The following is a 14,335-nucleotide window of genomic DNA, read 5'->3' as shown; positions in this document are numbered from 1 at the left end:
GAGATAATTTGCATACTTGGTTGTTATCCCTGAGCATTTTCCTGCCTCAATGCACGTGTAGCCAACACAATAATAATCATAGCTGATAAAGGCTAAAGCTGAGGACTTTCCTGAGCCAGGCAGTGGCTTTAAAACCTTTAAAGTGGCTTTTAAAACTTTAACAGCTAAAGCTGAGGACTTTCCTGAGCCAGGCAGTGGCTTTAAAAACTTTAAAGTTTTCACATAGACTCTCACTAAATAATTTCTGTTTTTCAGATCAACAAACTGAGACTATCACATTTGGGATTAAGTTAAAAAAAGAAAGAAAGAAAGAAACTGAGGCTTAAATACTTGCTTAAAGCAAGTATTTCACAGCCAGCAAGTGGCTAAGTTGGAACTTGAGCCCAGGCAGTCTAGCCCCGGGATCCTGTGCCCGGCAGAAAGGTGCTGGGTCAAGGGAGGAGGGGGCAGTCGGGAGCGCGCGCACGCTCTGGACTTGTGCACCCGCGGAAAAGGGTGCGCCGAGGGGGTAGGGGCGACGGGGACGGAGGCGGGGTAGGGGCAGCCTTTTCCCAGGCGGTAGCGGGGGCGGTGGTTCTGTTGTCCTGTTGCCCTTTTAAGCTGCGGCTTGACAGGGGCCGCGCCTCCTGTCGGTGGAGTCGGCTACAAAGGGAGCAGCCCCCCAGGCCGCCACACAGCTCCCGCCAAGACCTGGTGCCCCTTGCCATTTTCCAGCCGCGCTCCCAGGAGAGTGGAGGCTGCAGGAAGAGGCGGGTCTTTAGGCTCACAAGAGCTCGGCCAGGCGGCCCCGCGGGGTGGTCGTGGCCATGACAGCGGCTCCAGACGGCTCCCCTTCCACGCCCTTCCCGCCGGAGATGAGGGGAAGATGTCTGTGTCAAGATTCAAGGCCAAACTGAAGTTGCTGGCGTCTATCTTCCACGAGAACCAGGAGGCTCAGCTGCGGCTCACGCTCCACTGCAACATGAGGTGAGGCGCCCGGCGGCGGCCTCGCGGGGCAGGAGGAGGGCGGAGAGGGGGTGCCCGGAGTCCCGGGACAAAGGGGAACCTGCCCCGGCGAGGCTCCCCCCCCCTTTCTCCCGCAACTGGCCCGGCCCGCCCCGGGACTGCGCGAGGCTTGGGTGGGAGGAGGCGGCGGGCGCGTCTGTCTCTCCGGCTCCTCGCATGGGGCTGTCTTGGGGGCCACTGGCCCCTCTCAGCCCCCGTCGCCGCCCCCCGAGGTGGGAGCCCGTGGTGGCGGGAGCCCTCTCGGGACCCATGGTCGCCCTCAGTCAGCCGGCCTGCTCCGGGGACCGCGACAGGGCGGGGAATGGCGGCTTTTGAGCCCAGGCGGGGAAAGGCAAAGGCCTTTAAGATTTTCGGTGTTCGAAACCAGCCTGGCTAACATGGTGAAACCCTATCTCTACTAAAAAATACAAAAATTAGCCCGGCGTGGTGGCAGGCTACTTAATCCCAGCTACTTGGGAGGCAGAGGCAGGAGAATCGTTTGAACCCGGGAGGCGGAGGTTGCAGTGAGCCGAGATCGAGCCATTGCACTCAAACCTGGGGGATAAGAGCGAGACTTCTCTCAAAAAACAAAAACAAAAACAAAACAAAACAAAAAAAAACAACTTTTTTTTTTTTTTTTTTTAGACAAAGCCTCACTCTGTCGCCCAGGCTGGAATGCAGTGGCGCAATCTCGGCTCACTGCAGCCTACGTCTCTTGACAGTCCACGGGTTAAAGCTATTCTCCTGCCTCAGCCTCCGGAGTAGCTGGGATTACAGGCGCCCGCCACCACGCCTGGCTAACTTCTGTGTCTTTAGTAAAGACGGGGTTTCACCATGTTGGCCAGGCTGGTCTCAAACTCCTGACCTCAAATGACCCACCTCTGCCTCCCGAAGTGCTGGGAAGTGCTGGGATTCCTTCAATCCAATCAAGTTGACTCTGAGTATTAACCATCACAAGTGTCTTCAGAATTGTCATTCTTTTCTGCTGTGGCCTCCCTCTCCTGGTTTGCAGACCCATGCTCCGCCTGTGACACTAGGATGGGGAGGTGCTGGCAGGAGAGCTTTCTAGCTCCTGAGTTAAAAGGCAGAGATGGAGTCTGTTTTAAGATTTTGCTGCTGTGTTGAGTTATATTAAAAAACATTTTGTCTTTTCCCTCTGGTTTTCACACTCATAGTAAGAGGCCATCAAGATAGGCTTCTTATATGGGAGGGTGATTCTTACCAACTGTAGTTGGGACAAGTACGGTAAAGAATGTTAGATTCTTCTGGAAAAAAGTGGTCCCTCCATTATTTGGATTGGGTTTGTGGCCTTCTCAAGCCCAGCAGTCTAATTCCATCTGCTTTGTGTCTTCCGGCATGTCCCTGTAGTTTTGGTTCACTAAGGGTATTCTCCTTGTATCTGTTATTTTTCTGCTGCTGTGTCAGACTTATTCTGTTTAGTAAAATACTGTCATTTTGGTGGGATTTTGGAAAGAGGACCAGGCCACATCTTGAAATGAAATTCATCTTAGGATTTTACAACCCTAACTCACTTTTTGTTTTGATTAAATTACCCTTTTTGAGGGGTGGGGGCTCAGCTTTATCATTTGCAAAATGAAGGATAGTAACTGGGCTGATGGTTACAGATGTGGATGCGTGTCAGAATCACCTCAGAGAGCTTTTTAAAAACACATTCTCCCCAGCACTTTGGGAGGCCGAGGTGGGCGGATCATGAGGTCAAGAGATCGAGACCATCCTGGTCAACATGGTGAAACCCCGTCTCTACTAAAACTACAAAAATTAGCTGGGCATCGTGGCACGCGCCTGTAGTCCCAGCTACTTGGGAGGCTGAGGCAGGAGAATCGCTTGCACCCAGGAGGCGGAGGTGGCAGTGAGCCGAGATGGTGCCACTGCACTCCAGCCTGGCAACAGAGCAAGACTCCGTCTCAAAAAAAAACAAAACCAAAAACAGATTCTCTGGGTATGCTTTGAAATGAGCATTTCAAAAATGCTCTTTCAATCACTGATGCAACCAAAGTCTTTGGGACTTTTAGGCTAAGAATATATTCTTTAGATACCCAGAATAGTTTAATTTGGAGTATAACAATTTAGGGAAATGAAGAAGGGGTGAATTACATTTTGGAAGCTGCTGCTTGCTTCCTTTTTCCATTTAGTTTTTAGAAGACAAAGAATGTCTAAAGAGATACAGATTTAAAGCAAATATAAGTTAATTCTTCATGGGTATGTTTATCTACATGGCTTTCTCCAGCTGACTGATCCAGAAGAGTTCTAATACCCTCTGTGATCATGGGTTTGTTTTTCTTAAGAATTACTCCATCAGAGTATCTAAGAACAGATGCTTAGATACTGCTGAGACCTTTGTTGGTCTTACTTGATCTCTGAATCCTAGTTTTTTGATCTTCTACATATTCTGGGTTTTAACCTGTACTGGCCTTCATGGTTAAAGAAGCATTTATATACTGTGCCCAGGCCAGGAAGCTTATCTTTTGAACTTTGCCCAAACTGTGTATGAAGGCCCTTCTTAAAACCCCATTAAATTCATTTCTAAACTTGATCATTGTAAATTGTGTCAGTTGGTAAATTCTGTCTTGTAGGGAGGTACTTTGTAGTAAATAACATGTTTTTAAAACTAAAATTTGCCTTTTAGTAAGGTGGTAATCATTTCATAATTCTTAGTTTTGTCAAGTGTCTATAAATAACACATCTGATCTTTTAAAATGTAAGGCAATTGAATATATGTAATGATTCAGGCTTTTCAAAGTTAAAAAGGTAGTTATTTTAAGGAATGGATAGTTTGTGATATTTATTTTAAACAAAATAAGCCATTGATCTTATACACATAGCCATGTAAGTAAAATGTTTTCTTATTTTAAATTAGATTACATTTTAACATTTTTTTCGGTTTTGCTTTGTATTTGACTGATTGCTTTTCTTTATTCCTAATTCTTTTATTCTTTGTTCCGTTTTTAAAAGCTGATAACTGTTGTTTGTCAAATCAAAGTTGGATTTAAAAATAAACATTTAATTTTAATAAGCTCTCTGCTAGTGGCACTGCAGTGACAGATGGCTGAGAGTTTGTCCCTAAAGCTATGGCACCGGTCTTCTAATTGACTCACCCTGTATTCAGCCTGTGTAGCCCTGGCAGATTCTTTCTCTGTTTCAGAATGGGACAACAGAAGAAGTGACTTCAGAGGAAGAGGAAGAAGAGGAGATGGCTGAAGTAGGTATTTTATATAAGAATGACATTTCATAAATGTCGTCATTTTTGATTTGAGGAATTCTCTAAATCTCCTTTGTAAACTACTATTAATGTGGAATAATTGAAAGCACATTGTATTTGGAATGGAATATAATTTCTCACCTCTGGCTTTACCTCTAACTGATGATACATCTTTGAGAAAATTGCTTTATCTGAATTCTTTGGATTTGATTTTCTGGAAAACAAAAGCTCTTAACTTTTAGCACCAAAGTTGTACTTATATTTAATACTAATCAGTCCTTAACCTGTATTTGGTTATTTTTAGGAAAAGGAACTACTAAGTTTAAAAAATGTTATGTTTGCATAAAAGGAGAATTTGAGAACATGTTAGGGACTACTCACCAGAAGTAGTGACACTGTCTCTTGTTGAAAAATCATCAAGGAATTTTCTCTTAGTCTGTTTTATGCTGCTATAACAGAATACCAGAGACTGGGTAATTTATAAAGAACAGACATTTATTTTCTGACAGTTCTGGAGACTGGGAAGTCCAAGATGAAAATACCAACATTTGGTGTCTGAGGGCCTTCTTGTTGCCACCTCACATGGTAGAAGGCAGAAGGCAGAAGGGCAGGAGAGCAAGCTAGTCCAATGTGTGAAGCCTCATTCATCAGGGCCTTAATCCCATTAAGGAGGAAGGAGCCCTCTTGGCCTAATCACCTCCTAAAGGTCCTACCTCTTAATATCATCACATTGGCAACACCTGAATTTTGGAGGGAACACATTCAAATGGTAGCAAATTTAGTAGAGCACATTCCAAAGACATTGAGCCTAGGCCAGTTGTCAGTCATGGGTCTAATTTTAGACATTTTCAGGCTCTGAAGCTTTGCATTTAAATTCAAACTCCGGAACAAAGATCTGTGTCTCTGCATTGACCAAATAGAAGGTATGTGAATTTTATGGTCTTGATCGTTTTACAAGATTTTTTCTGTTTGGGGTCTTATAATTAATATAGGCTTTCATTTTCTTGGTTTGGAAATTATTAATCTAAAATATACTTTACAGTGCTTCAGAACTAAAGAAGTAGTGTTGTGGGCTTGTTTTTGTTTGTTTTTTTTAAGATAGGGTCTCCTGTCACCCAGGCTGGAGTGGAGTAGCATGGTCACGGCTCACTGCAACCTTGAACTCCCAGGTTCAAGCAATCCTCCTGAGTAGCTGGAACTACAGGCAGGTGCCCCACGTCCAGCTAATTTTTTAAATTTTCTGTAGAGTTTGAGTCTCGCTCTGTTGCCCAGGCTGGTCTTGAGCTCCTGGCCTCAAGTGATCCACCACCTCGGCCTCCCAAAGTGCTGGGATTACATGCGTGCACCACTGTGCCTGGCTGTAGGCTTGTTTTATAAGTCTGGGAGTAAAATACTTCTTAAAATTGTCCAATTAGAATGAGAGTTTAGGCTGGGCATGGTGGCTCATGCCTGTAATCCCAGCACTTTGGGAGGCCGAGGCAGGTGGATCATGAGGTCAGGAGATCGAGACCATCCTGGCTAACAAGGTGAAACCCTGTCTCTACTGAAAATACAAAAAATTAGTCAGGTGTGGTGGTGGGCGCCTGTAGTCCCAGCTACTTGGGAGGCTGAGGCAGGAGAATGGCCTGAACCCAGGAGGCAGAGCTTGCAGTGAGCTGAGATCACGCCACTGCACTACAGCCTGGATGACAGAGCAAGACTCTGTCTCAAAAAAAAAAAAAAAAAAAAAAAAGAATGAGAGTTTAATGTTTTTATGCAGTTTAGCTCAGGTAGAATAAAGTGCAAGAAAACATTGAACCTTTTCTGTGGGTCAGGAAGCCATTGTACTAAAGATCATGAACCCTTTCATCTTCCCCTCACAAAATAATAAACAAGGGACTGCAACTTTGAGGGAAATCTAGAAAGGTAGGAGACTGGACTTTGGAGATGTCAGATTAGGACTGGTGAAAAGCAGATATTCTAGGCTCCTAAAATAACGTGGGAACAAGCCCAGAACAACCTTGGACATGGTGTGTTTGTGCATGGGATGCTTTTCTTTTGAGACGGAAGGTTGATGTGTTGAAGTCATGGAAAGTGTTCAAAATATTGTGAGAATTACCGAAATGTGACACAGAAACATGAAGTGAGCACATGCTGTTGGAAAAAAATGGTGCTGATCTACTTGCTTAATGCAGAGGTGCCAAAAACCTTCAGTTGTAAAACAAAAAACAAAACAAAAAAAACAAAAAACAATAATAAAAAAAAGGAAAACTGCAATATCTACAGAGTACAATAAAGTGAAGCAGAATAAAATGCAGTATGCCCGTATGAAAGATTATGATGTCAGTGAACAAACAGTTGTATGCCTTCCTTTCCAATGTGTATGCCTTTTATTGATCCTTGTTGCTTAATCACTTTGGCTAGGACTTCTAGTACTATGTGGGAAAAAAGGGACGAGTATGAGCATCCTTGCCTTGTTCTTCATATGAGGGGGAAAGCTTTTTACCATTAAATATGTTGGTGTCGGGTTGTCATAAATGGCCATTGTTAAGTTGAAATATGTTCTTATTTGTTTGTTTATTTTAACTAGAGATAGGGTTTCACTATGTTGCCCAGGCTGGTCTTGAACTCCTGGGCTCAAGCGATCTTCCTGCCTCAGCCTCTCAAAGTGCTGGGATTACAGGCGTGAGCCTTTCTGAGCGTTTTTTCATCATGGAAAGGATGTCAAATTTTGTCAAATGCTTTTTGTGCATTTATTGAGATGATGATATGTTGTTTATCTTTTATGCTGTTAATGTGACATATCACAATTACTGATTTTTGTATGTTGAATCATTCTTGCATCCCAGGGATAAATCTCCTTAATCATGGTGGTATGATATGGATTTGGTTTATTTGGCCCCACTAAATTTTATGTTGAAATTTGATTCCCAATTTGGTAGTATTGGGAAGTAGGGCCTCATGGCAGGTGTTTGGGGTCTCATGAATGGCTTGGTGCCATCTTGCAATAGTGAGTTCTCATCTTGCAAGACTGGATTGGTTTTTGGGGTAATAAATTAGTTCCCCTTGGAGTAGGTTGTTACAAATCCAGGATACCCCTTGGGTTTGTTCTCATTTCACATATGCCCGCCTCACCTTTTACCTTCTTCACCATGTTTTGACACAGCACAAAAGCCCTCAGGAGAAGCAGATGCTGGCATCATGCTTCTTGTACAGCCTGCAGAACTGTGGCCATTTTAATGCGGTATTGAATTTGGTTTTCTAGTCTTTTATGGAAGATATTTGGATCTGTTTTCATCAGGGTTACTGGTCTGTGATTTTCTCTTTTTTGTAGTGTTCTGGTTTGGCTTTGATATCAGGGTAATGCTGGCATAGTAAAATGAGTTTGGAAGTGGTCCATCATCTTCAGTTTTTTTGAAGCAATTGGGATATAGTGACATTAATTCTTCTTTAAATGCTTGATAGAATTCAGTAGTGAAGCCATATGATTCTTGTGCCTCAGCCTCCTGAGTAGCTGGGATTACAGGTGTGCACCACCGCACCTGGCTAATTTTTGTATTTTTAGTAGAGTCGGGGTTTCACCATGTTGGCCAGGCTGGTCTTGAACTCCTGACCTCAAGTGATCCACTCTCTTCGGCCTCCCAAAGTGCTGGGATTACAGGCATGAACCACTGTTCCTGGCCCATAGACTTCTTTTTGATGGAGATTTTAAACAACCAAATTGATATCCTTAATCATTACTGGTATGTTTAGTTTCTCCATTTCTTCATGCTTTGGACTTGGTAAGATATGGTTTCTAGGAATTTACCTACTTTTTTAGGTTATCTTTTTTATGGCATATAATTGTTCATCATAGACCCTTATGGTCCTTCTTATTTCTGTGGTATTAGTTTTCAAGTCTCCACTTTGATTTATGATTTTGTTTATTTGAGTCCTGTCACATTTTATCTTAGTCCAGCAAAAGGTGAATTTTGTATGTCTTTTAAGAAACAACTCAGTTTACTTTTCTGTTGTTTTTCTAGTCCCTACTTCATGTTTTTCAGCTCTGATCTTTAAGATTTCCTTCTTCTTTCTAACATTGGAGTTTGTTCTTCTTTTTCTAGTGTTTGAGGTATAAGGTTATCTTACTTATTTAATATCTTTCTTTTTTCTTCACGTAAGATTTTATCACTAAAAGTTTCTCTCTTAGAATTGCTTTTGCTGTAGCCCATAATTTATTATTTATTTATTTATTTATTTATTTATTTTTGGGATGGTGTCTCACTCTGTTGCTCAGGCTGGAGTGCAGTGGCATGATCTCTGCTCACTGCAACCTTCGCCTCCTGGGTTCAAGTGATTCTCCTGTCTCAGCCTCCCAAGTAAATGGGATTACAGGCACATGCCACCATGCCCAGCTAATTTTTGTATTTTTAGTAGAGACAAGATTTCACCATGTTGGCCAGGCTGGTCTCGAACTCTTGACCTCAGGTGATTTGCCCACCTTGGCCTCCCACAGTACTGGGATTAAAGGCATGAGTCACTACACCCGGCCTAGCCCATAAGTTTTTGTATGCTGTGTTTCCATTTTGATTTGTATCAAGATCTTTTTAAATTTCCCTCTTGGAAAATTTACCACTTACCCTTTGGTTGCTCAGAAGAATGTTGTTTAATTTGCATATATTTGTGAGTTTTCCAGTTTTTCTTTTTATTGATTTCTAGTTTCATACCATTGTAATCAGAAGATATTCTTGATGCAGTTTCAATCGTCTTAAATTTGTTAAAACGTGTTTTGTGGCCTAATACTTAAAGTAATTTGGAAATAATTTTATATGTACAAGAAAAAAAGTCTTCTGTTGCCTTTTGACAGAATGCATTGTATATGTCTGTTAGGCCCTCTTTTTGTCTAAAATGCAGTTCAATTACAATATTTTCTCATTGACTTTCTATCTGAACAATTTGTCCATTGTTGAAAGTGAGGTATTAAAGTTTTCTACTATTATTGTATCCAGTCTGTCTCTTCCTTCAGATTTATTAATATTTGCTTTATATAATTTAAGTGCTGTAATGTTAGGTGCATATATATTTGAAATTGTTATATCCCCTGATGAATTGACCTGTTTATCATTATATGATGATCTTCTTTGTATCTTACGAGAGTTTTTGACTTAAAGTTTATTTTGTATAAATTTAGCTATTCCTACTCTCTTTTGGTTTCCATTTGCATAGAATATAACCTTCCTTATTTACATTGACTCTAAGTGTGTTCTTAAAGCTTAAGTGAATCCGTTGTAGGTACCATATTGTGTGTGTGTGTGTGTGTGTGTGTGTGTTCAATCCATTGAGCAGTCTATCTTTAGAGTATTTAAGCAATTTATATTTAAAGTAATTATTGATAGGTAAGCAATTACTATTGCCATTTTGTTAATTGGTTTCTAGTTGCCTTGTAGATTCTTTGTTTGTTTCATCCTCTCTTGCTATCTTCCTTTGTGAACTGATGATTTTTTTGTAATGAGTGGTATGCTTTGATTCCTTTCTCTTTTTCTTCTATATATCAACTAGAGGTTTTTGGTTTATGGTTACCGTGAGGCTTACAGGAAATACCTTTTAGTTATAAAAGTCTATTTTAAGCTTATAACAAATTTTCTTTGATCACATACAAAATCTCTATACTTTTACACCCCTTATTTTTTGTTTATGATGTCAAAATTTATATCTTTTTAATATTATGTATCCACAGACTATTGTATTTACAGTTTTGTTAATACTTTTGTTTTTAAACTTTAAGTGATTTACACACCATTACAGTATTAGAATATTCTGAATTTATTAGAGTATTAGAATATTATTAGAGTATTCTGATAAACTTCCATTTGTCAGTTTTATACTTTCATATGTTTTCATGTCATTAATTAGCCTTGTTTCATTTTATCTTGAAGAACTCTCTAGCATTTCTTATAAAGCAGGTCTAAAGTGGTGAACTCCTCAGCTTTTGTTTGTTTAGAAGGCTTTAGATCTCCATTTTTGAAGAACAACTTTTTTAGGTAAAATATTCTTGGTTAGCAGTATCTTTCTTTCTTTTACCAGTTTGAATATATCTATATAATTCTACTATCTTCTGGCTGTAAGGCTTCTGCTGAGAAATCTGCTAATAGTCTTATCAGAGTTTGCTTGTATGTGCCAAGCCTCTTTTCTTGTTGCTTTCAAATTTCTGTGTCTTCAATTTTTGACAATTCGTTATGCAGGTGAAGGATCCCTTATCTGTAGTGCATAGAATCGAAGTGTTTCAGATTTCAGATTGTTTTAGATTTTGAAATATTTGCATTATACTTACCAGTTGAGCATCCCTAATTTGAAAATCTGAAATCTGAAATGTTCCAATGAGCATTTCCTTTAAGCGTCATTTTAGTTCTCAAAAAGTTTCAGATTTTGAAGCATTTCAGATTTCAGGTTTTTAGATTAGAGATGCTCAACCTGTAATGTGACTTGTGAGGCCTTCTTTGGATTGAACCTTATTACAGATTGCAAGCTTTGTATACCTGAATGTCCAGGTTTCTCCCCAGACTTTGGAAGTTTTCAGCCATAATTTTTTTAAATAAGCTTTCTCCCCTTTCTGTCTTTGTTCTTCTTCTAGAACATCCATAATGCAAATGTTAGCTGTCTTGATGGTGTTCCACTAATCTCATCGGTTTTCTTCATTCCTTTTCATTCTTTTTTAAAAAAATTTTCCTTTTCTAACTGGATATTTTCAAATGACTTTTCTTCAAGTTCACAGATTCTTTTTTCTGCTTGATCAAGTCTGTTGGTGTTTTTATTGCATTTTTTGAATTCCATTCACTGTGTTCTTCAGCTCTAGGATTTCTGTTCAGTTTCCTTTTCATGATTTCTATCTATTCATTGGAATTCTTTTGTTGATTCCTATTTTCTGTTTTATTTAGTTGTCTACCTATGTTTTCTTGTAGCTCACTGAGCTTCATTAAAATAGTTATTTTGAATTCTTTGTCAGGCAATTTGTAGATCTCAATTTCTTTGGGAAAAATCAAGTTTTCTTGATTTTTCATGTTTCTTGAAGTCTTCTGCTGCTGTCTTTCCATTTGAAGAAGGAGTAACTTCCTTCAGTTTTTACTTACTATAAATACCTTCACCAACCAGATTGGTTAGTGATTATGAGGCTCTCTCAGACTTTTTCTGTGGATTCACCCACTCCACACTTCTTATCCATTTTGGGGGAGGGAAATGCTTAAGATTATACACTTTCTTTCAATCTTGCAAAGCTAGGCCAGGGCTGAGAGCTTCCTGTTTTGATTTTCTAGAGTGGTGCACTGAAATGCTCAAGTTTGTGTGTCTTCCTCCAACCCTGCATAGTTGATACAGATACCTGCATGAAATGCTTGCATTTGCTGTTCACGCAGGTGCATTTAGGGAACCAATCTTGGGAGCGAGTTGTGCCGAACATTTTGAGTGCCCATGCACCAGTTCAGGGGGTCCAAACACAATGTGTTCCAAGTGCCTTATAGATGCACTTCCTGATGGAATCACAGAGCAGTAAATTAGATCCCCACCTCTCTTCCCTGTCACTGTTCTCTTCCAACCACTAAACCATACCAATCACCATTGTAGTTTGGATAAGATGAGAAAGTGGGTGTCTTGTTCAGTATCCTACAAAGCTGGGGGAGCTGGGCACTCATGAACCATGCTTGCACTCTCCCCACCCACCAGGAGAAATCATGGACTGCAATGATCTCTCTTGGCATTGAGCTATGATGCCTTGGAGGAAAGGTAATGCAGGTAAAGTGAAACTGTTTTTCTTATCTTTTTCAGTGCATCTATTCTCAGATTTTTGTTCTGATGGCGTGCTAAAACTTTATCTGCTGGATTCTTGGACCCCACAAAAGTGCTCTTATAGATAATTGTCAAGTTTGATGCTTCTGCTAGGGGATAATGGTAGAACGCTCTTATTCCACCACCGCGTGAACATCACTCTGCTTTCTCTCTTAATTCTGCCTTATTCTGCACATTAGCCTCATTTTCCTCCTTGGAGCTTGTGAAGGAATTGAAGATGCCAGAGGCATCAGTCTTATTTTATGTAAGGATGCTCCTAAACCACTAATGATAGGACCTAAAATCTATTGTTGAAGATTCTGAGATATACTCTCCGTCTTTTAGCTGATGACCTCATTCAGGGCCATCACAGCTTACAGGCCAAACTGTCTACTAAAAACATTAGGAAGTGTTAATCACATAGACCTCTTCTAGAGCTGTGCAGTGTGTGACCGGCACAGCCATATGCATTAGCCATGATACCCCCTACTTCATCAAGATACAGCAGTAATGATATTTAGTGTCTCTTATCTTTTCTACAATACCCTTGAATACCTGCCATCCTACATATATTTTATGAAATGGGAGACTGAAAGAATGTATTTTCAAAGTAATACACTTTATGTAATATGTGGTTTTTACATAAACTTATTTATGGAAAATTAATGAATTCAGTAGTAGGTTTTGACATTTTATTATTTTATCTGGTAGGAAAAAGTCCTTCTTTCTTAAATAAGGACTTAATTAGTCCTTATTTCTTAAGGCCTGGATTTGCAAGATTGCTTTCAAAATTGCTTCATGCATATTTTTATATTTTCAATTCCATATGAATTTTAAAATCAGCTTTCAATTTTATTGTGCTTGTATGAAAGTTTTGGGTTAACTTCAAGACAGCTGACTTTTAACAGTTAAAACTTTCCAACTAAAAATGTGGCTTTTCTCTCAAATGACAAGCTTTGTATAATTTCTTATAGCTTCCCTTCTTGTTTTCTCTTCAAAAGATTTTTAGAATATTTTTGTTATGATATTATCTTTAGATGAAGGTCAATTTGTATCTTCTTCTTTTATATTTTTAGCTTGGTGGGCCTTTTCTTGAAGACACTTGTCTTTCTTTAACATTGAAATACATTTATCCATTGTTTTAGGCAATTTGTACCTCTCCATTTTCTTTGTTCTCTCTTTTGGGAACTCGTTTTAGTCAAACTTTGGGCTTCCTGCTTTGATCTTCATTAATCCTTTAGTCTTTGTTCTAGTGTTTTTAGTGTCTGAAGTACTTTTTAAGGTTATCCATCTGGGTATGCTAGAGAATGCTGGTCTGGGTATATGTTTTACATGGGCATATGACAGAATCAGCATTACCTCAAATGGTCAAGCTGCCTTTCCTGTGATGAGGACACAGAGTTTTTACCTGGAAAAAGTATGGAGACAGAGGAGCAAGAGGAGCCTGTGCTGAGCACTTTCTGTTTGCCCCTCCAGACTTACAGTTGACCTTTCTCAATTCACATCTGCCCTTTGGGAGGCTGACCATATCTGTGGGCTCCTTCATCTTTGGGCTTTCTGTGGTGCCCTGGAAGAAGGTAAGAGTGTGGGGCCGTAACATTGGTTCCTCCCACTCTCTCTCCACGTGGACAGCCCAACTGCCTCCTCTCAGGCCTCCCTCTCTGCCAGACCTCTGGCGCTGGCTTTCTGCAGTTGCTCCTTCCCTTGCCCTTTTGGACCCAGAGGTTGTAATTATAACCCCAGCGTCACCTCTCAGGATACTGTATTATCCATCCCTGTGATTTTCCCACCCTGGCCCATACTTGCGTAAAAGTCCTTTTATTATTCTCAAATAATTTAAATTGCATGTTCCATGTATTTCCTACAGGTACTCTGAAAAATATAAATGCCCGTAATCCCAGCACTTTGGGAGGCCAAGGCGGGCGGATCACAAGGTCAAGAGATTGAGACCATCCTGGCCTACATGGTGAAACCCTGTCTCTACTAAAAATACAAAAATTAGCTGGGCACTGGGCTGGGTGTGGTGGCTCGCGCCTGTAGTCCCAGCACTTTGGGAAGCCGAGGCGGGTGGATCATGAGGTCAGGAGTTCCAAGACCAGCCTGGCCAAGATGGTGAAACCCCATTTCTACTAAAAATACAAAAAATTAGCCGGGTGTGGTGGTAGGCACCTGTAATCCCAGCAACTCAGGAGGCTGAGGCAGAGAATTGCTTGAACCTGGGAGGCAGAGGTTGCAGTGAGCTGAGATGGCGCCACTACACTCCAGCCTGGGTGACAGAGTGAGACTCCATCTCAGAAAAAAAAAAAAAAAAAAAAGGGTGGCATCTGCTTGTAGTCCCAACTACTCGGGAGGCTG

At 40.7% G+C, this 14,335-nt stretch overlaps 1 long non-coding RNA gene across 10 annotated transcripts in view; it reads left to right on the top strand.

Moving 5' to 3' along the window:
• Window positions 1–497: 497 nt before the first annotated feature.
• The window catches only part of LOC102724078 (uncharacterized), a 187,103-nt gene continuing 173,265 nt past the window's right edge, over window positions 498–14,335 (top strand). For 8 of the 10 annotated variants that reach the window (XR_007064566.1, XR_007064562.1, XR_007064560.1 and 5 more), the window contains exons 1-2: window positions 577–966; window positions 4,148–4,204. This is a non-coding gene — a long non-coding RNA (uncharacterized LOC102724078). Of the gene's footprint in view, window positions 967–4,147; window positions 4,205–14,335 lie in introns of all 10 variants that reach the window. The other 2 variants (XR_007064561.1, XR_007064568.1) reach the window with 1 other exon arrangement.

This window comes from Homo sapiens, chromosome 15 (assembly GCF_000001405.40).
Source record: "Homo sapiens chromosome 15, GRCh38.p14 Primary Assembly".
NCBI lineage: Eukaryota > Metazoa > Chordata > Mammalia > Primates > Hominidae > Homo > Homo sapiens.
Note: the sequence above shows the minus strand (reverse complement) of the source record. Positions and strands in the feature narration are given on the sequence as shown.